General features: G+C 34.7%; 1 long non-coding RNA gene across 1 annotated transcript in view; it reads left to right on the forward strand.

The window, feature by feature from the left end:
* Positions 1-22,955, forward strand: part of LINC01075 (long intergenic non-protein coding RNA 1075) — a 37,670-nt gene extending 14,715 nt beyond the window's left edge. Inside the window, exons 3-4 of the long non-coding RNA NR_125787.1 lie at positions 638-736; positions 22,831-22,955. This is a non-coding gene — a long non-coding RNA (long intergenic non-protein coding RNA 1075). The remainder of the gene's footprint in view (positions 1-637; positions 737-22,830) is intronic.
* Positions 22,956-23,497: the final 542 nt, after the last annotated feature.

Here is a 23,497-nt window from a genome sequence, read left to right on the forward strand (position 1 = left end):
ACTTGAGGCCATATTTACTTTGCTTTCAGAATTGTTATGCTATTTAAAAAATATATTATTTGGTTTTAAAGTTTTAAAAAATTGGTTAGATAAAAGTTTCCATCTCAGAATAGATTTTTAAAACTGTTTTATAAGGAAAAAAAAAAAACGGTGTAAGTTTCTTCTTGAGGCACTGCTTAAGAATCCCCAAGCTAATCCAGTTTTTATAATAATTTTGGCGGAGTCAAATGACCTATCCATGCAAAGTTTATGCAATGTTAAAAAACAAACTTCTATTTAAAGCCAGGAGTATATGAGAATAGCAGACTTTTTTTAGTATTTACTTTCACTGTATGGGTGTTCATATAACTTAAGAAAACCACTCCTGGGTAGTTCAGGCAGCGTGATGCATTTTTGAAGTTCATGTTTTCCCTTGAAAATGTTTCAAATCCTATAGTGAAGATTAAATCCTTGATCCCTCTTGCATGAGATAAACTCTAGCTTCTCTAGAAGTTCAAAGCCAAAGGCTTACTTAAAATAAAAGGAGTATGACTCTTGAAATAAGCAGTTTTCCAGCCTCACTGTTTACTACAATTGCATAGAATGCCTAGAGTTATTTAAGCATGGTAATATTTGTATATGCTTTTCTTTCTAATAGCTACTCTTAGAAGAGTTCCAGGGCTATGAATAACTATTCTATGAAAAAATAATATCACAGTGAATTTACTTCATTTCCCTAAAACATCTAAGTATATAGGTAAGTTGGAAATTAATTTATAATGTTTTGGGAAATAGTATACAGATCTTTAGATGGAAATATGTCTTGTAGCAATAATTTACCATGTAAACATATATATTATCAATTTTATGTTAGTCTAAATTTTTGTTATTCATTAATTTAAAAAGAAGGAAATAATTTTCTCTTTGTCATAAATCTTTGTTTTCTGTATTTTAAGAAATTTATTTTTGGTCATTAGCACATCTTTGTCTTTGAAAAGTTATTTTGAAGTAATTGGAATTTCTGTGACTAAATTCTGTCACTAAATTCCAAAGCTGGCCAGTTATGGACCAGCTTTGAAATATCTGTTATGAATGCAATGAAAGATCTGTTATATATATATATAACAATGAAATATCTGTTATGAAAGCAAAATAGAATAAACTAACAATGAAATTCTAATGAATCAAATTGCTATTTGGACTAATTCACTTAAATATATTGATTACCTATTATCATCTGAATTTAAAGATCACATGGTGCCTACTTTTATATCATATTATCTATTTATTATTTGTAGTTGTCAAAGTAAGCCCAGTTGTTAAACATTGAAATCTTTTTCAAAATAAGCAAATTATTCATGATATTATAAGACCCAATTATTTAGAGGAAAAATATTGTATGTTTTAAAAATGATAGATTGTAGAATGTCTAATTACTGCAATATATTGCTAAGTACCATTTTAGATATGACTTGATCATAAAAAGAAGGCCTTAAAATCAACAGTGACATATAGAGTTGCAAGACTGGGATAATAACTTTGCAACAAGATTGTGATAAATAACTCAAGTAAAACTGCACTATTTGTAGCAATAACTAGGACATATTAATTTATGAAGTAATCTTTTCTAAATACAAAAAATCTGTCAAATTCTGATGTTGATAATTTTCATAAGAAATGACACCAACGGGTAAATATTTCAACAACCATACAACTACAGAAACTGGCTGTTGATTCCCACAACACTTTGATTTAAATAAAACTGTGTTCAATTTAGTGTTGTTGATTCCAGAAATGAAAGTTAAACCATATGTTGACAATAATGATTTATATGTATAACAAAAATATTGATGTCTCTGAATATAAATCCATGTTTATACTAAAAGTAAGCATGTGTCAGTCAATTCATTCTTTCATATACAATTTTGCATAGTATCCATGTTTCATAATGATATGATATCCATACGTAAATTTTTTAAATTAAAAAAACGCTTTTTATGCAGCTAACCATTTACCTAGTGGTGTTCATACAGCTTCTTTATATTAAAATACCAACCAATGTATTAAGTGTTAACCGTAATAAATAGTCCCAGAAACCTTGTCGTATTGGCCAGGTATCATCACATAACACTGACCTGTTTAGCAAATAATTGAAAGAGAATAGTCTGGGTTGTTTTAGAGACATGATGTGTTTGACAAAGAGAGGAGGTAATTTATCCAATTATCCAATGTGTTGTGGTGATTTATAGAAATAATTTCATACAAGGAAAGATAGCTGGATTAAGAAGAAATATTTTCTCTAATAAGCCTTTTAAGAGAAATAATTCATACATTTATATCAAGAAAGATGAAAAATCATAATGAGAAAAAAGATGAAAATTATAAGGAAATAAAACAGGAAGTTCGAGGAAAGAAGTGAAAAATTGAATTATTTTTTATTTTTATTTATTTATTTTTTTTGAGACAGGGTCTCGCTCTGTCACCCAGGCTAGAGTGCAGTGGCACAATCACCGCTTACTGTAGCCTTGACCTCCCTGGCTCAAGCAATTCTCCCACCTTAGCCTCCGGAATAGCTGGGATTACAGGCACAGGTCACCACGCCTGGCTAATTGTTTTGTATTTTTTGCAGAGACGGGTTTCGGCATGTGGCCCAGGCGGATCTTTCTTTCTTTTTCTTTTCTTTTCTTTCTTTTTTTTTTTGAGACACCGTCTGGCTCTGTTGCCCAGGCTGGAGTGTAGTGGCGCGATCTCAGCTCACTGCAAGCTCCGCCTCCCGGGTTCACGCCATTCTCCTGCCTCAGCCTCCCCAGTAGCTGGAACTACAGGCACCCTCCACCACACCCGGCTAATTTTTTGCATTTTTAATAGAGACGCGGTTTCACCGTGTTAACCAGGATGGTCTCAATCTCCTGACCTCATGATCCACCTGCCTCGGCCTCCCAAAGCGTTGGGATTACAGGCGTGAGCCACTGCACCCAGCCTTGCCGAGGCTGGTCTAAAATCCCTGAGCTCAAGTGATCTTCCTGCCTCGGACTTCTGAAGTGTTGGGATTACAGGCGTGAGCCACAGTGCCCGGCTAGAGAAGTTTTAAATGAAATGATGAGTCTATATTTAATATGGAATAAAGAAGTAAAGAAGTAGTCTTAAGCAGATTGACATTTGTGGTGGACATTCCATAGGATGAACTCCAGTGAATCATTGTATAATCCTCTCCCCTTGATTGTGGTGGGACCTGAGATTAGATTCTAGCTAATAGATGACAATGATAATGGGAATGCCAGTTCCAGGGTTAGGTTATGTCACATTTTGTAATTAGAAGATTTCATTTTAGAATACTGGAGAGAGCTATTCTCTTTTTAGCCTTTAAGAAGCAAGCTGTCATGTTTTGAGAGGTTTGGGTGAGACTCACCCATGAGAGGAAACTGTTCATGGCTTCTGGGACATGAGGGTGCTTCCTGAAGAAGCCAGCAAGAGGTCAGGTCCTGAGTTGTAGAACAAGGAAATAAATTTTGCCAGTAGTCTAAATGAGCTTGGAGGGATATTTGTCTCAGTTAAACCTCGAAGTGAAAATGTAGCTTCTCTGACTCCTTAATTTCAACCTTGTGAGACCCTCTACAACAGACCTAGCAAAACCATGCCTAGACTCCTTACCCACAGAAACTGACATAATAATTGTGTATTCCTAAATCATTAAGTTTATGGTAATTACACAGCAATTGAAAAATAATATGGTATTTTCGCGTAGATGGTTAGTTTGTGGGGACATTTAAGTCATTCGTCCACATAGCCTATTTTCCTCTGTGCACATTTACTGTTCAAATTAGAAAGCTCAAAGTTATTTTCTTCCTTCTGACTATTTAGAAGACAACAACCTCCCTGGTGAGTAAACCTTAAGTACAGCAACAGGATATTAAACATATTTGAAGTATATGCACAGCTTGCTATTGTACTCATTTCATTTTTAGTGTAGTATAGCAAGTTTAACTGCCTGATGCCAATTAACCATAATGAGAATTATGGAACTAAACCACAGTGCACTACACTGAAAATTGAATCACTTGGGTTCTTACTGACTTCATGCTTTTTGTTGAAGGACATATAACTTATATTAAAGACTTCTCTTTTTTCCTACCTAAGAAACATTGATTATCATTAATTGAAACTATATTAAAACTCTGATTAACATATACAAAATTTAATTAATAAAATTACTTTCTAAAGAAAAGACAGAAAAAAGTATATGTACATACCATGTACAACATAATATTTTCAAGTATATGTACATTGGGGAATGACTAAATCTAGCTAATTAGCTTTCCCTAACATAATTATCATTTTTTGAGGTAAAAACATTTTATATCCAGTCTCTACATTTTTCAAGAATTTATTAGTTTATATATAGTTAATATATTATTAACTGTACATTAAAGAAATCTATCGTACAACATGTGACTACAGTTAACAAAGTTAGTGTTCACATCTCTTCTCCAAAGAAAAGCTAAAGTTCATTTATATTATAATGTCTGTATTTAGTTTAACATAAAATACATAAAACATGCTAAATATATTTCCCTGTGTTTCTTCTTAATTATTATACTGGTAATTAATTCAAATTTTAAAACAATTCAAAGTACATTATAAATCCTTTAAATAGCTATAGCAGGGTTTTAAATATAGAATTCTATTAATTTAAAATAATAGCATATAAAACTTTATCACAGATGCTAATTGTGACATTGAACTCAGTAATTTCAGAAACATGAATGTATTCTCTGACGTATTGTTTTAAATAATGAGACTTTGGTATGAAACTAAAAAATTATTTAGAAAAATTAAATCTAAAGAAACAAAACACACACACACACACACACACACACACACACCCCCCACATACACAGCTACTCTCATAGAAAACTCACAGTTACAAACTGAAACCTCAGGAGCATCTTCTTCTCGAAGCCATGGGAGATGAACTTAATAGTTGCCTCTGACTTTTCAGATGAACAATTCAAACTTCTCATCATGATTGTATTCATTCAACAAACACATAGCCCAACACTGTGCCAGAATGGTTCCAAGCACCTCAACAAGTTGGCTCATTAGTTCCTTATAACAACCTTATAGAATTAGTTTAGAGTGATTTTTAAGAAAATGCAGTTCTTGTTTCATTTTTAAACATCCACCCATTTGCTTGATGATTGTAGTACAGAGTGAAGCTGGCTTGAGGAACTTTGTCTCTTTAGCTTTTCCTGATTGGAGAGTTTCATGTACTTAGTTTACTGGCAGAATGGAAGGATGTGGTTTTCTGCATAAGTGAAATCCAAATAAAGGAATCTTACTCTATACAAAGATAATTTTCTGAAAATAACTAGTGGGTTGAGGCTATAAAATTCCCATATTTGTAATAGAAATCTTGTGCTCAAAGTTAGAGGTACAACAGTACATGTCATTCTCTGGGTTCCCAGTCTGTGATACTGCTCCCACCCTTCTTCACTATTGCAAACATTTACTAACCCAGTTTTGAACATGAACTTTATTTTCTCAAAATATGTTAGTATCTGACTAGGATTTCCTTTGAAGAATAACCAAGTTCAGGCAAGACCTATTGTTCCACCACAGAAATCAGTGTTTGTTTCACTACAAGGTCAAGATACAGAGTCTAAACCTCTGTGCCACTGTCTAAGTCATGTTTAAGAGCATAATTTCTTAAAAACATTCAGTTTGCTACAATTGATTTTTAGCAACTTTATGATGGGTTTTTGTTGAAAATTTGAATACAGCTTATTTGATTCTATATCATACCTTGGACACTTTCAAAAGCCATCAATATTTAAACACCCCTAAGATTATTCCACCTTAGAGTCTTACGTCTGCACACTTCTGTGTTACATCTATCTTTATCTATTTTTTCAACCATTTCAAAACATTTCATACTGATCTTCAGAGTTCCTGTTCCTTAGTTACATTCTTGTATATTGCTGACTTCATATTACGGGTTTCTCCCATCTCCTATAGGTCATAAATAAAACTTAGTATTCCGCTGTTGTATTATTAAGTTTTAAGTTCTACTTTATGATTATTATTGTGATTGCACATATAAGGTTTCTGTATCAGATATATTAATTATTGATTCTTACATAAAACTTATGCCATCTCTTTTTGCCTTCAGTTCTTATTACTTGGGCAAGGTGCTGATAACCGTGGCATCCTACACATGTCAGAGTCTGTACCACAGATGAAGAACATGAAAATATGAAATATTTTTGCTTAGATGAGTGCTGCTCCCCTTCACCCTAAAGAAAGGGAGAAAAATCTTCCCTCCAAAAGAAGAATCTTGAGTTCTTACTTTAATTTAGAGTGTAAATAAGTATATCCATAGGAAAGGTAAATCCCAGGACTCATACCTCTCCTTGAAATTTAAAATATAGCTCTGAAGAGGTGAATCTACATGGAGTTCTCTCTGTTTAATCAGTCATAAATTCCATTCCAAGGCTCATTCTTCTAATTCTGATTTCAAGTTTCATTAAATATTATTAAGAAAGCACTAATAATGCAATGCAGGAACACAAACACACATATGCACACCCACCGGCATACACACACACTTCACAATTCCATTGTTACTTTATATTGAGGCTTGGAAGTTGCCATTTTTATTAGGTCACCATGCCGTGATTTCCTACTATAATTTCTAGATCATCATTAAACCACCTAAAGATAAACAATTTCTTCCTTGGAGGGTCATACCAAGCATCTCTTTCTTCATAGCCATTTCACCTCATTCAAAATAGTTACCTATATCCTTACCTTTTCTACTTCTATTAAAATTGAAACTATATGTAACAAAACTCTTCACACGTCTTGGAATAATTTTGAATTCTCTCTCTCTCTCTCTCTCTCTCTCTCTCTATATATATATATATATATATAACTATAAAACAACTAAGCTTACACTTTTGTAATGTCTTCATGTATATGATCCTTCTCTATACTCCACTTCAGTCCAATTCAGGCACCTGTAGATACAGATACTTGCAAGACCTGGTCATCCACTATACTTTTATACCTCTAAAATAATTAATTGTGCCTTCAAATATGTCTCTCTTTTATTTGTTATCACTTAACTTATCTCATTTGTATTAGTCTGTGTTACTAATCGCTGTGTCCCTTGTCTCTATTATCTTTTCTGAAAGGTCATATTATAATAGGCATGACCTGTCAACTTTCTAGCTAATAAAATTCTCTCATCTGTTCCTTAAATATCCCCATATCTTTTTCCAAAACCTCAATTCAATTTCCATGGCAGATCCTTATTTCTTCTCAAATTGTTTGTGACAAAGTAGAATATTTATTAAGTGAGAACTATTCATATCAGTGCCATTGCAAAATCTATAATAACACAAAAGCCTCCAAAGTCATTTCTCATTCATTCTAATAAGGATTTATTTCAAATTAATAATAATTTCCTTAAGATTCCTACTTTAGTATTTGCACCATCATATTTTGCAAACACTCTTGCTTCCTGTAGATATGAAAAAGAATGTAGTATAATTCTTTGTGTTTCTATCCTATTGGAGGATGCTGGTGTTTCTTTGCTTCTTCAGGCATACTGCTAGACTAAATAGCTGAACTTCTTAGTAGTTGTATGTGGCCTTGTACAATTTCTGGTCAATAAATTTGGGAAGAAGAGCTATATGTTACATTAAAGTATGGTTCCTAAAATAAATACCTTACAATATTATATTTCTCTATTTTCTCATCTCCCACCTGGCTTTAGAGGATCCACCAAAAGTTACCATGTTTCTAGAAGATAGCAGAGAAACCAAAGAAGGGGTTCTGGTTTTTGAAATAACACATTTTGCTTCCTTGTTGTTGTTATGCACTACCATGTAATAAAATATTCATTTTAAATAGTGGCTCCAAACAGCAACAGTTTATTTTATCTCATATTTCTGAGTTGACTTGGCAATGCTTTTGCTGTATGTGGTGTTAGCTAAAGGGATGGGATGGCTAAGCTCTCCAAAATGTCCTAAATTCCAGGGCTGGCATTTGCAGCCAGACATCAGCTAGGAACTCAGTTGGGCCTATAGACCAAAGAACTCAGTTTTCCTCCACATGGGCCTTTACATGTTCAAGCTTGGACTTCCTCACAGCATCCATGTCTGAGTTCTCAAAACAAGAACTTGATGGCAGGGACAGAAGCTGTGCACTCTTAAGTCCCTGCCTCACATTGTAAACATTACTACTGCTCATTTTATTAGTTAAAACAAGTCACTGAGCAAGGCCAGGTTCAAGAGGAGGAAAAAGACCCCGTATGTCAGTGGGAATGTGTCAAAGAAATTCTAGTCATCTTTATTTCAACACAGTTCACTCTCGGCTTAAAATTTATTTATAGTCTTCACACATGTAAAATACATTCATTCTTATCCAAACTCTAATAATCTCTTCTCATTACAATATGAAAGTTCAGTCTAGATCCAAGTCTAGATTCTTGTTATTTAAATGTAATTAGGCATGGAGGAGGCTCTGCAAGGTCATTCCATGTGTGTGCACATGAATTAAAGTAATATATTATCTTCATCCTAAACAGCAAATTTACTAGCAGATAGTTTTTACTATTAAAATAAATATAGGATTTGGAGTTTTGTACTTCCTTCTTTGTTGGCAGACATTCAACAGCTATTTCATCCTCTGCCTGTTGATATTAGTTAATGCTGCAGAGAATAATAAATGCAGATAAATGTGATAGAATGTGATGTATATGTATATGTATTTGTGTTTGTCTGTGTGTGTGTGTGTGTGTGTGTGTGTGTGTGTGTGTGCCTGGTATGGAGCAGCTGGATGAATTTTCTAAACAAAGTTAAATGAAAAGTTTGACCATCAGGGTAAATTTTGAGTATAGAGCCAAAGGAAGTGAGATAGCAAGCCATGCAGAAATTGGAAAGTGACAGAAGTAGGAACATTTGTAAGGCCTTTCAATGATCTAGATGAGAAACATTCGTGGCTTAGACCAGAGGATAAACTTGGCAGAGTAAGAAGAGATGAAATTCTGAACATTTTTGAAAATACTGTCCACAGATTTTCTGATAGATAGCATGGGACAAGGGAGAGGAAGAAGTCAAGGAAGAATAACACCAATAATTTTTCCATGATGAATTTGAAGAATGGGTTGTCATTAGCTGACTTGGGAGAAAATCTGCAGGGTAAACAAGTTTTGGTTAAAAGATTAAAGTATAAGTTTTTGATATGTTAAGCTTCTAATTCTTACTAGATTTCTAATAGAAATTGCCAACAATACTAGGCTTTTGGACATTTGACGCTGAAATTCTGGTCAAATATGGGTGACTACTCAAATAAAATGAGGATTAAGGATGGACCATTGGCTAAAGCAATGTCAAAGTTACCCGCATTCTTGAGAGAGCCATTTGAGTGGAGTGCTGGAGGTAGAAATCTGGCTCCAGTTCATTCACTCAGAATTAAAAGACAAAAACTGGAAATGCTGTATTTTGACCACTCTTCCATCTACAGCGTTAAGAAAGAACTTCGCAGTTTCTGCTGATGCCCTGAAGCAGATTTGTAAATTTTTAATAGCATACCATCACAAAGAAAGTTTTCCATTGTCTAGTTCATTATAGAACATTTAGATGTGATAATCTAGAGGTATTATCCACATGTGGAGAAACTAAACAAGTTTACAAAGAAGTTAGAATTATATCCTGATATAGGAAGTGGTAATACATTATGAAATATTCAATCAAAAGACTTGTTCAGAGTAATTCTGATATTTTAAGAAGAATTATCTGAAAATAAAGCTGCCTGATTGAAGGTTAAAAGGCCGAATCCATTATAGGACTTTTCTTTTTAAAACTCTCACTAGCCAAGAATAGTTTACAGATCTGGACATAGAAACACAAAGTTCTGAATTAAAATGTTAAGAAAAGAAAAAGTCATTTCTTTTCTTTATTTCCTTTGACAGAGAATTATATTTCAACTAATTAGTCCATTGTATGAGTAGACATACTAGATACAAGTTAAGTGCTTCTGAAGCTGGAGTAGATGATTCAACATTTTTTGAATTGTTAGAGCTTAGATCCAGAGGTGCTTTTTTTTTTTTAGAGGAATCTTTGCTGTGTCACCCAGGCTGGAGTGCAGTGGCGTGATCTCCACTCACTGCAACCTCCACCCTCTGGGTTCAAGTGATTCTCCTGCCTCAACCTCCCAAGTAGCTGGGACTACAGGCATGTGCCACCACACCCGGCTAATTTTTTTATTTTTAGTAGAGATGGGTTTTTGCCATGTTGGCCAGGCTGGTCTGGAATTCCTGACCTCAGGTGATCCAACCATCTCGGCCTCCCAAAGTGCTGGGATTGCAGGCATGAGCCACCGCCCCCAGCCCCAAGGTTATTTTTAATGTGGTCTTTTAATTGGTGAATTCATGCTCTGATATTCAGTGGTTTTCATATAGTAGGGATTGAAAATGATCAGGGAGGACTGAGTTTATACAACCTTTTAAAATTTTCGAGGTAGGAGCCTGACATCATGCTGCCTTCCTAGGCTTCTCAAAGTTTCCAAGTCCGGAGTTCCTTAGGTCATCCTCCTACTATAATATTATATGCCTGAAAATGTTCATTGATCATCTTTTCCTGCCTATATGCGTTCTTGCTCATCAAAATTGCATTGCAGCTGATTTCAATTAATTGCTAGAAGTTTGGTGATAATTATTATTATTGCTGTTATTATTTTGTGTCTTGTGGAGATGGCAGGGTCTTGCTGTGTTGCTCAGGCTGGTCTTGAACTCCTGGCTTCAAGTGATACTCCAGCCTGGGCTTTCCAAACTGCTGGTATTATAGGTGTGAGCCACTGCACCCAGCCTATGTTTTAATAAGTGTTAATTTAGGGTAAATAAATATGTTTCAAGTTAAGTCATTATTTGACAAATGTCAATTTTATAAAATTAGTTTTATTTTGTTCCAAGAAAAAAAAATCGATATCTATACACATTTTATAAATTGGGACAAATATCCCAATGAAAAAATTTGTATAACTTTATTAACATGAAATATTTAATATCTTTAACATATTTGAATCTCAATAACATAAAGATAGCTTTCTAATATTTCCTTTTGAATTGTTATAGATTTCAGTTTATATCATAACACTGAGCAGTCTTAAACTTTCTAATCCCTTTATTATAAGAAAAGCAACAGAACAAGCAATTGAAAACAGGCAGTGAATAAATACTAAGCCTAATCATTCTATGGGAATTTGAATGTTGAAAGATAATACTATTTCCTTCTAAATGAATTACTAATAGATTTTTTACTCATAGAAACTTAGGCCATAGAAAAATGAAAGAATTTCAGCCTGTGGGAAGAAAAAAAGGCATTGGTTAGAAAGAGAAATAGGTATTTTTCTAAATTATATGTCTATTTTCTTTAGCAGTATGCCTGGAATGTACTACTGAATTTGCTTGTCTTGGTTCTCTACATGATTTTACTCAATAAATTTTGAAGCCATTTATTCATCTAATTTTTCTTTTAATATTCATTTTCTGCTTGCTGGATGATGTGGGATACAACCATAAAGGAAAGAGTTTTGTCCCCCAAAATATATTGGGAATGAAAATATTTTTAAGTAAAAAGTAGATTTACAACACAGTACATGAAGTAGTATAATAGCAATATGCATAAAGGTTGGGTATGTAATTCAGATTATGGGTGAGGAGTCATGGGGAGATACATCATGAAAAGTCTTCCCATGTAAAGGGATGACTTGGCCGAGACCTCGAGAACAAGAAACTAGAAGTCCAAGACAAGTATATGTTTGAATGTTTAGGACAGAGATAGAGCATGGCCCATTAAGGGAATGGAGTGTAACTAAATATTGCTGTAGCCTGTCATTTGAAAGAACCTAGTAGTAAGTATTAAGGTGGGAATAGTAAGCAGGATGAAGATGATTAAAGGTATCCTTGTTAAATCAGTTTAAAAAAAATTTTTTTGAGACAGGTTCCAGCTCTGCTGCTCAGGGTGGAGTGCAATAGCACAATCACAACTCACTGTAGCCTCAACTTTCAGGTTTAAGCAATCCTCCCACCTCAGCCTCCCAAGTAGTTGGGAGAACAGGCACATGGCATCATGCCTGGCTAATTGTTTTACTTTTTGTGGAGATGGAAACTGATTATGTTGCTCAGACTGGCCTCAAGCTTCTGAGTTTAAGCAATCCTCCTGCCTCAGCCTCCCAGAGTGCTGGGATTACAGACATGAGCCACCACACATGGCCAAAAGCTTTCATCTTTATCCTAAAAGCAGCACAGCAGAAATATTTTAAGCAGAAGTGTCATGTTAAGCTTACTTATTCTGGATGGCTAAATGGTGACATTTCCATAGGAATGATCAAATGAAAAAGCACAATTTGTTGTCTGGCCTGTGTTGACTAATCTCACCTCACTGACTTAAGTAATATGACATAGTATATGATTTGAGTGATAGTGTGTACATCTATCTATCTATTGATCGATCGATCGATTGATCTATCAACTGTCTAACCACCATATTAGGTGTCTAAAATAATACCATTAATACTGTGCACTGCTCATCTTGGATATTTTTTTAAAAGCCAAGAAACAGTTAAAGATTGCTTAGCACAGAAATTGCAGGTTTATTGCTTCCACATCAAAGTTATACTAAGGGATTCTCATTTTACCTGTCCTTGCAGGGAGAGGAAAGGGAGAGAGTGAGGGATTGAACAAAAGAAGTATTCACATGGATCACTCTTACATTTAAGAGGTAGATCTGTACCACAGTTTCATGAAAGAGAACTATCAAGCTTGGGACAAAAAAAAAAAATCTCTGTTCTTACTTTATTCTATTATGTGTTGAGATATGGATGATGGATGGACCCTCTATAAAAGACATTTTTAAACCTTCGTCTCAACCTCATATGTGTTTAGACTGGGGGAGACTGGTAGGACAAAAAAGCAAACGAGGAAGAAATGGAAACTCTTTTAGCATCCAGTTATATTTCAGAAGGTACAGTTGAAAAGAGACTAGTGTACAACAATCCCTTTCAGTAAATTACAAAGTACAGTCACCAATAGCAAGGGACGCCTAGATGATCAGCCCCTGAAATGACCTCCAGATGCCTTCCATTTTGCTACCTCATTACATGTTAGAAAGGATCACATTTCAAGATACATTAATTTATTTATGCTCTGTCATGTTTCTTAAAATATGTGGAATGGCATATTATATGTCCATCTATTATAGATAGACATATGGCAAAATGATAAAATATAAATTTAAAGGAAAAGGATCAGAAAATAACATGAATTAAAGAATAATTTCTTGGCCCAGCACGGTGGCTTGCACCTACTCCCAGCTACTCCACAGGTTTAGGTGGGGGGATCACTTGATGCCAGGAGTTTGAGATCAGTCTGAGCAACATAGCAAGTCCATGTCCCTAAAACAAAACATTTTTCATTAAAAAAAAAAAAAGAATAAGTTTTAAACTTAGAGATAAACTTGATCACAATTATAGAAAAAACAATTTTGAATTCAATTGCTATAAAATGCAGCTTAAAATAGGCTTTGGTTATTTTGGTAGTCAAAATGAAAATAATAAACAGTCTTTTTAGATAGTTCTTATTGTTAATAAAGAGGTGTTGCATCAGCTCTCAAGAAAAAAAAAAAAAAGTCTTGCCATGTAGTTATAACAACAAATACTGTTCTCTGGTATCTCTTATCTGAAAAAAAAAAAAAAGGAAAAAAAGAAAAGGATAATCAAGATAATTATCTTCTGAATTCTTTCCTTTTCATTTCAGTGCAAATTGTCTTGGGTTGTCTAAGAACAACGCTTTCTCAGGCCCCCTTCACTCCCTCCAGTTGGGCTTTCATCCTATCATTTATGTCAAGTTAATTTCGCCAGAGTCACAGGCTTAACATTAAGATGCCCTTTGTTTTTAGGTTTTGACAATGTCAAAATCATCCTAACTTTTATTTAATCTTATTTAAAATTTCTGAAAAATGGATAGTTCATTATAGTAGTCATGATAAATAAAACCAGCTTCAGGATTTTATAGCACTTTTAAGGAAAAAAGAAAGGGAAAATAAAAAATACATATACTAGGAATATCACTAAAATGATACAAATTTACATCTTTCATGAACACAAAATATTTCCTGCATAGTAGAAACAAACACAGTTGATCCTGTAGAATTTTCTCAAATAATATTTTTAAAAAATAAATAGAATGATGTATTGCTTAATGATGTAACTATGTTCTAGGAATGTGTTGTGTGACCATCATAGGAGGTACTTACAGAAACCTAGATGGTATAGCCTACTACACACCTAGACTATATGATATAGCCTATTGCTCCTAGGCTACAAGCTTGTACAACATGTTACTGTACTAAATACTGTAGGCAAATGTGACACACAATAAGTATTTGTATGTCTAAACATATCAAAAGATAAACATTTTACAGTAGAAATAAGGTATAATGGATTAAAAAATAGTATACCTAAAAAGGACATTTATAATGAATGGAGCTTGCAGTACTGGAAGTTGCTGTGGGTGTCAGTGAGTGAGTGGTGAGTGAATGCAAAGGCCAAGAACATTACGGTAAACTACTGTGGACTCTGTAAACACTGCACAATTAGACTATACTAAATGTATTTTAAAATTTTTATTTAATAATAAATTAAACTTAGTTTATAAGCTTTTTCACTTTATAAACTTTAAAAATTTTCTAAAATTTTTTACTCTTTTGTAATAACATTTGGCTTAAAACACAAACACATTGCACAGCAGTACAAAATTTTTCTTTCTTTATATTCTTATTCTATAAGCTTTTTTCTTTTTCTTTCTTTCTTTTTTTTCTTTTTTTTTTTGAGATGGAGCTTCGCTCTTGTTGCCCAGGCTGGAGTGCAATGGTGCAATCTCAGCTCAGTGCAACCTCTACTTCCCGGGTTCAAGAGATTCTCTTGCCTTAGCCTCTCGAGTAGCTAGGATTACAGGCACACACCACCACGTCCAGCTAATTTTTGTATTTTTAGTAGAGATGAGGTCTCACCATGTTGGCCAGCTGGTCTCAAACTCTTGACCTCAGGTGATCCACTCGTTTGCTCTCCCAAAGTGCTGGGATTACAAGCGGGAGCCACCACTCCTGGCCTATAAGCTTTTTTTCTATTTTTAGTTTTTTTAATAAACTTTTTTGTTAAAAACTAAGGCACAAAAGCACACATTAACCTAGGCCTGTATAGGGTCAGGATCATCAATATCACTCCTTTTCACCTCCACAGCTTGTCCTGCTGAAAGGTTTTTAGGGGCAATAACATGCATGGAACTGTCATCTCCTATGATAACCATGCCTTATTCTGGAATACCTCCTGAAGGACCTGCCTGAGGCTGTTTTACAGTTAACTTCTTTTTAATAAGTAGAAGGAGTACACTGTAAATTAATTATAAAAATTTTAGTATGGTAAATACACAAACCAGTAGAATAGTTGCTTGCGATCATTACCGAGTATTATGTACTGTATATAACTGTATGTGCTACACTTTTATTTGAGTCCCAATTTAGTGGGTCCATTGACACCAGAATCATCACATACACTTGAGTAACATATTTCACTATGATTTTACAATGGCTATATCATCACTAAGTGATGTAAGTTTTTCAGCTCCATTATAATCTAAGGACCATCATTCTATATATGCTCTATCATCAACTGAAACGTCATTATGCTGTGCATGACTCCCAGTAACCTCCTTGGCATTTACTCAAGTAAATTGAAAACTTACAAAGGCAGAAACCTGCACTTGGGTGATTGTAGCATCTTTATTCATAACTACTCAAACTTAGAAATAATATGTTGATTATATTATTTCTAATATATATAGATGAATAAGTAGATGAATAAGATGGATACACTGTAGTACATCCAGGCAATGGAATATTATCCAGTGCTAACCACAAATGAGCCATCACAGTTTCTCTCTTATTTTTGCTTGTATAAAATCTGTTATTCACAGAGAAACCAATGAGTTCTATTAAAATTGGAAATCAGATCTTGTCATGTCTCTTGCTGAAAATTCCACACTGGTTTCCCATCCCATTTAGAATAATTTCGCAACTGTTTACCAAGGTGTATAATGTCAAACCTGACCTTCTCTCAGCTGATCTCTGAGATCTGATCTTCTGCCACGCTTCCTTTCTCCCACTTAGAGGCACACATTCTGGTCTTCTAACTTACCATGAGTTATGCCAAACTCTTTTCCATTTTAGTGACCTTGCACTAATAACTCCATCTGTCAATAATGAGTTTTATGTAACCTTTGTATGTCTGCCTCCTTCATGACATTTAGGCCTCAGTTTAAATATAATCTACTTAGAGATATCATCTTTAATACCCAATATAAAGTATTACTCAGTGGTTATCTCTTCTCACTGTAAATATTTACATATTTTCCCCTTACATATTATTAGTTCATATATTTGTTCCCTTCTCTATAATTTTGTCTTCAAAGAGTAGAAACTATCTAATTTATCAATGTATTTGAGATGTAAAACAAAGTGCCAAGTCTGCAGGAAACAATAAATATTTGCCAAATTGATGAAAGTGGATGTGCATAAATCATTCTTTATAGGGAAACTTAATAGAGCACTGTGTTGTAATGGGCAGTGTTTTCATCAAAACTCCCTCAGGAAAAAAAGCTTTCAAAAGGCTTTGCAGTTGCTATTTTGTCTTATTGTGTTTGTTTGCTTTTAAGACAGCAATCCTCAATAGAAGTGGAGGAATAAATACCAAAATACTCCAGAAAGACTCAAGATAATATGATTTATGTTATTGGTTACTATTAGCCTGGATTAATGTAAAATATAAGACTTAAAATATATAATCAAGCTTTTTAAAAGTTTGTAATCAATAAACATGACGACTAGATAAAAAGTCCTTCAGCAAAAATACATACTCAAATGCAATGTGTGCTCAAATTTTCATACAATTTCAGCAGGTTCACATTCTATGTAACATATATTTATTATCTTCTTTCACTGAATGATAAAATCTAACAGAATAAAATCCATATTAGTTTATGTTATCACTGGTAAAGGTCATATGCTCTCAAAGTAAAATGTAAAGAAAGTTTTTAAGCAGTCACCTTGGGGTTGTATTATCTGTTAGGAGTTGTATGTAATCTGTGACATTAGCAATTAAACATACACTGTAAAAGTGAGCCCAAAATTTCTTTAACAAATAGTAAATGCTTTTACTGTAAATACTGTATTAAACTCTGGGGACTAATGGGTACTATAAAATGAATTTAAAATAATAGATTCCTTAAGAATTGTATAATCCATAAGTCAAAATAGACATAGAAACATATAACTCTAATTATTAAATATATATAATAACTGATTTATACACAGGATATTTTAGTACCATGGTGACTATATTGACTCAACTAGGACCATTGCAGAGAGTGATATTAAGTTTTTCTGACATAATTCTTCAATAAACTTAATTTAAAAAAAATATAAAGGAGAACAATGTACAGAGAGTTTAGAATAATTAGTATAAAAATTTTTATAAACATGCTTATCACACACATATGCAAACAGTTGAGAATGAATTTTAAAATCAAGATAGCAATATATGGACTGGAAGATAGGTCACTCAAATAATTTAAGTAGGAATGATATAGCAGTTGTGGTTGTATTTTCGGTAGATCATTCTGACTGTATTTTGGAGACTGAATTCAAATTATCCTTGGGACTAGGGGTAGAATACAGAGTCAAATACAATCATCCTGGTTGAAATGGTTAAGGCCTGATTTAGGTAAATAGTAGTTGAGAAATATGATGTATTAGTTTTCTAGGGTTGCCATAACAAAGTACTAGAGATTGGGTAGCTTAAACAACAGAAATTAATTTTCTCACAGTTCTGGAGGTTAGAAGTCCAGTATCATGGTGTTGACTGTAGTGGTTTAATTCTCTCTGCTTGGCTTGAAGATAGCCACCTTCTTCCCTTGTCTTCACATGGTGCTTACTTGTGCATGTAAGTGTCCTAAATCCCTTCTTTTCATAAGGACACTAGTCATAGTAGAATCTGGCTCATCTCAAGGACCCAAGTTAACCTACTTACTTCTTTAAAAACTGTGTCTCCAAATATGGTCACATTCCAAGAAAATGGGGAAGGAAGTCGCCATAGGAACTTTGGAGGGACACAACTAAGTCCCTAATATATGAAAAAGAATTACTTTAGTAAATACTTAAAGGAATTAAGGGAAGATGGAGTAATGGTTTGAGTCTGGACATATAAAAATGTCATTATTGCAACCACATTTCTCTCTCTCTTGATTGGTAGGTAGGTAGATAGATAGATAGATAGATAGATAGATAGATAGATAGATAGAAAGATAGATAGATGTATAACATATAATATTTCTACCAATCTTTACTTTTTGAGAAATACAACATCAGGGCGAATTTTTTTTTGCTAAAAGCAAGTGATTCTTACTATGAAGCAGGAGAGCAAATGCCAAATCAGAATAAAACCAAGAATCAGGAAGAATGACCAAGGTAGTAGTTCTCACCTTGGATGCACATTGGAATCACATGAAGAGTTTCTAAAAACATATTTATGCCAGGGTTCCACCTCAGCACAATTAACTACCAACCTATTGGGTGAAAACTGAGCCACAACAGTTTCCAAAATCTCCCGATGATCCCAGAGTGTAGTGAGGATTAAGAGCCACTGGACTGGAAGAACAATGTGAAGAGAAGAAGTAGAATGACAAAGCAACTGGAATAAAATTGGAACTTGTAAGGCCTCATCAGATTTCATGGTGCAACTAGGAATCAACATAGACTGAGCAAGTTCAATGTAAGGGGCAGGATTACAGAAAACAGCTTATGCAACAGAGGGCCTAGCCAGGAAGAACTTCAAAAAATATGCCATTGTTTCCATGACTGTAAACACCATGAGCCTATAACCTTAAAACAAATTATATGTTATTGGATGAATCAACCCAAGTGCTTTTATTAATGACATGTTTGTGTGCACGTGTGTGCATGTGTGTAACAACATGTTAATGTTTGTGATTTTAACATTGAAGTCTCTTCAAGCATCAAGATAATATTTGCGGCCAGGAGCGGTGGCTCACGCCTGTAATCCCAGCACTTTGGGAGGCCGAGGTGGGTGGATCACAAGTTCAGGAGTTCGAGACCAGCCTGACCAAAATGGTGAAACACCATCTCTACTAAAAATACAAAAATTAGCCGGGCATGGTGGTGCAAGCCTGTAGTCCCAGCTACTCAGGAGGCTGAGGCAGGAGAATTGCTTGAACCCGGGAGGCAGAGGTCACAGTGAACCAAGATTGCCCCACTGCACTCTTGCCTGGGTGACGGAGCGAGACTCCATCACAAAAAAAAAAAAAGGTAATATTTGTATATTTGCTCCTGCACAATGCACCACAGCAGAAAAGTCTGTGTGGAAATAAACATTGGAAATCTAGGAATTGAAGGGGATCAGCCATCCGAAGCATGGGCTGAGTTTTCAACAAGGGATGTGCATAAAATCAACTCCCTCCAAAAAAAAGTCAATATCAAGCCTAACCCAGAGAGCCAGTCAGGTACATACTTCCCCAACAATGTTATTTCTCTTCTTTCTCTGCCCTCCATTTCACCTGGAAGAGTCACAGTTAAGAGTCACCAAGTAATGGAAGAAGTGAGCAAAAATGGGAAAGCAATCCCACAGCTTCCGCAAAGTCTGACTCCCATGAGCCACAGGCCTGGCTAAGGGAAAGAAGAAAACTTCTTGTTCACTGAAGCATAGAGGGCTAATTAAAGATATTGGAACAGAGTTGTAATTCCTGAATTGAGTATGTGTTTTGTAATTTGTGGTGACCATAGGAATTTTGGTTAAACTAAAAGAATCCATAAAAGTTATAGGATCTACTTAAGTTTCATACAGAGAAACAGGAAGAATTATTTTTATTTTGTATTTTATAAGTTAAAAGAGACACTCTAGGAACAAATTCTTTTTAATTACACCCTGTTATAATAAGCAAGGAAAACAAGCACAAGAAGAGATGTGGCCCAACAAAATCTCTTATCCAAAACACTGGCAGATCAGAGTTGGTTTCTAGTGAACAGATGATACAAATTATATAAGGTGACAAGAATTCCCCTGCAGAAAATAAAACAATACTGTAACTTCCTTTTTGATGGCCAATATCATTAAATGCATTAGAATAGTCCCAGTTGAGAATCATTGTTATGAAGCCTTCATAGAGTAACTCAATATAAAGGAAGCTGCATTCTGGAAGATAACCTGGGCTCAGAAAATAAAAAGAAAAATCTTGTTTTATTTTAGTTTGGCATCTGGTTAAGGTGGGAGACTCTGGCTGAAGTCAAAAAGTGATGCCGTTTATAGATTGTGTGTGGACCACAGTAACTGGCCACATGTGAACTAATGTAGCTCTAATCTTAAAATCAAACTAGAAAACACCAGTGAAGGCTCTAAGTCCTGGCCCAGAGAAAGTTCAAAAGACTATTGAATAAGCTTCTATGAGTGATGTGATTAATTTTTAATGTCAATGTTACATGGCAAAGTAACAGTATTGATAGTGTTGGCTTTATCAGCTCCCATCTTCCTCACTTTGGAAGGAGATCTTAACCTCTTTGGACTAAATAACCCTGAATTTCTAGATTATCATGGCTTCATAAAAAGCTTCATAAAAAATGATAAAAAATTAAAAAGAAAAAAGTAAAAATGTAGATTTTCTGACAACTTTTGTAAATGCAGACTACAGCTATTAGTTGAGTTAAAAAGGAAGCAAAATACAAATGTGATTATTTCACAAAATACTGAAGCCTACCATAATAGCTACATAGAGAAGCTTGTACCTCTTTAAGTGTCCATTACTTTTTTCCTAGTGTACTTCTAAAACTCTGTGTGTATATATATGTTTGTTTTGCTCTTCTAAAATTCTGTGTGTATATACATGTTCACACTATATACTATACTATATACTATATAGACTAGATACTATATATACTGTACAGTTAATACATTTATTTTAAAAACAAATACTTATTTTCTTTATCCAGTCTAATATTGATGGGCATTTGGGTTGGTTCCAAGTCTTTGCTATTGTGAATAGTGCTGCAATAAACATAAGTGTGCATGTGTCTTTATAGGAGAATAATTTATAATCCTTTGCGTATAGATCCAGTAAGGGGATTGCTTGGTCAAATGGTATTTCTAGTTCTAGATCCTGGAGGAATCGCCACACTGTCTTCCATAATGGTTGAACTAATTTACACTCCCACCAACAGTGTGAAAGCGTTCCTGTTTCTCCACATCCTCTCCAGCATTTGTTGCTTCCTGACTTTTTTTTTTTTTTTTTTTTTTTGAGACAGAGTCTCGCTGTGTTGCCCAGACTTGAGTGCAGTGGCACGATCTCGGCTCACTGCAAGCTCCGCCTCCTGGGTTCACACCATTCTCCTGCCTCAGCCTCCCCAGCAGCTGGGACTACAGGTGCCACCACCACGCCTGGTTAATTTTTTTGTATTTTTAGTAGAGATGGGGTTTCACTGTGTTAGCCAGGATGGTCTCCATCTCCTGAGCTCGTGATCTGCCCGCCTGGGCATCCCAAAGTGCTGAGATTACAGGCATGAGCCACCATGCCTGACTTGTTTCCTGACTTTTTAATGATCGCCATTCTAACTGGCATGAGATGGTATCTCAGTGTGGTTTTGATTTGCATTTCTCTAATGACCAGTGATGATGAGCTTTTTAATATGTTTGTTGGCTGCATAAGTGTCTTATTTTGAAAAGTATCTGTTCATATCCTTCACCCACTTTTTGATTTTTTTTTTTTCTTGTAAGTTTGTTTAAGTTTCTTGTACATTCTGGATATTAGCCCTTTGTCAGATAAATAGATTGCAAAAATTTTCTCCCATTCTGTAGGTTGCCTGTTCACTCGATGATAGTTTCTTTTGCTGTGCAGAAGCTCTGTAGTTTACTTAGATCCCATTTGTCAATTTTGGCTTCTGTTGCAATTGTTTTTGGTGTTTTAGTCATGAAGTCTTTGCCCAGGCCTATGTCCTGAATGGTATTGCCTAGGTTTTCTTTTAGGGTTTTTATGGATTTAGGTCTTACATTTAAATCTTTACTCCATCTTGAGTTAATTTTTGTATAAGTTATAAAGAAGGTGTCCAGTTTCAGTTGTCTGCATATGGCTAGCCAGTTTTCCCAACACCATTTATTAAATAGGGAATCCTTTCCCCATTGCTTGTTTTTGTCAGGTTTATCAAGGATCAGATGGCTGTAGGTGTGTGGTGTTATTTTCGAGGCCTCTGTTCTGTTCCATTGGTCTATATATCTGTTTTGATACCAGTATCATGCTGTTTTGGTTACTACCATGGAATACTATGTAGCCATAAAAAGGAATGAGTGCATGTCCTTTGCAGGGACGTGGATGAAGCTGGAAATCATAATTTTTCAGCAAACTAAGATGGCAACAGAAAACTAAACAACCTATGTTCTCGCTCATAAGTGGGAGTTGAACAATGAGAACACATGGACACAGGGAGGGGAACATCACACATCAGGGCCTGTCGGGGGTTGGGGGGCTAGGGGAGGGATAGCATTAGGAGAATACAAATGTAGATGACGGGTTGATGGGTGCAGCAAACTGCCATGGCACATGTATACCTATGTAACAAACCTGCATGTTCTGCACATGTATCCCAGCACTTAAAGTATAATAAAAAATAATAATAAAGAAATACTTATTATTTATTTACTTTTAATAATGTTCTCCTTTTCTATTTTTTTCAGTAAAAAGAGAGAGTATTCCCTCCAGACAAAGGCTTTCAAGCAACCACAGGAGAAAATGCCCTGTGTAGGGATAATGAATATTAATCTAAAATAATTTTTTCTAATATATGGTTTAATTCCATCGCATTTCAGTTTCTCTGTTTAGAGGCACACTTTGGTCTGAATGTAGTCTATTAGAGTGTTACCCTAATGACTTATCATTAACAATTATACACTTTAAGGGACTGAACCCTTCTGAAAAGAAGCTTATTTGGTCATTCTCTGTAAGTATGTTCACATGTGAGTATCACAATACTCATAGTACACATATGAGGTCATAGTATCATGTGTTCCCCAACTTCCTTTATCCCCCCTTCTTTCCTCCAAATTCTACTTATTTTGTTCATACATTTCCTTCAAACCTGTGGTTTTGTATCTCCTACAAGTCTGTGTAATAACAGGGAGGCACAGGAGCACATTAGGAAACAGAATAAAGTGGGGAAGACCTAAATGTGTTCCATCAGAAAAGGGATCTGAATTTATATATCTGAGCCTAAACTTGAAAAAAAAAGTTTTTACTTAAAAATATCATCTCAGCCTTGGAGTTTCCTCTCATTAAAAGGCAGAAAATCTTTAGCAAGAACAGGAAAAGAACAATAAAAAGATTATGCAGCTCTGGAAACAAGCA

The sequence above is a fragment of the Homo sapiens genome, chromosome 13, assembly GCF_000001405.40.
Source record: "Homo sapiens chromosome 13, GRCh38.p14 Primary Assembly".
NCBI classification, from domain to species: Eukaryota; Metazoa; Chordata; class Mammalia; order Primates; family Hominidae; genus Homo; species Homo sapiens.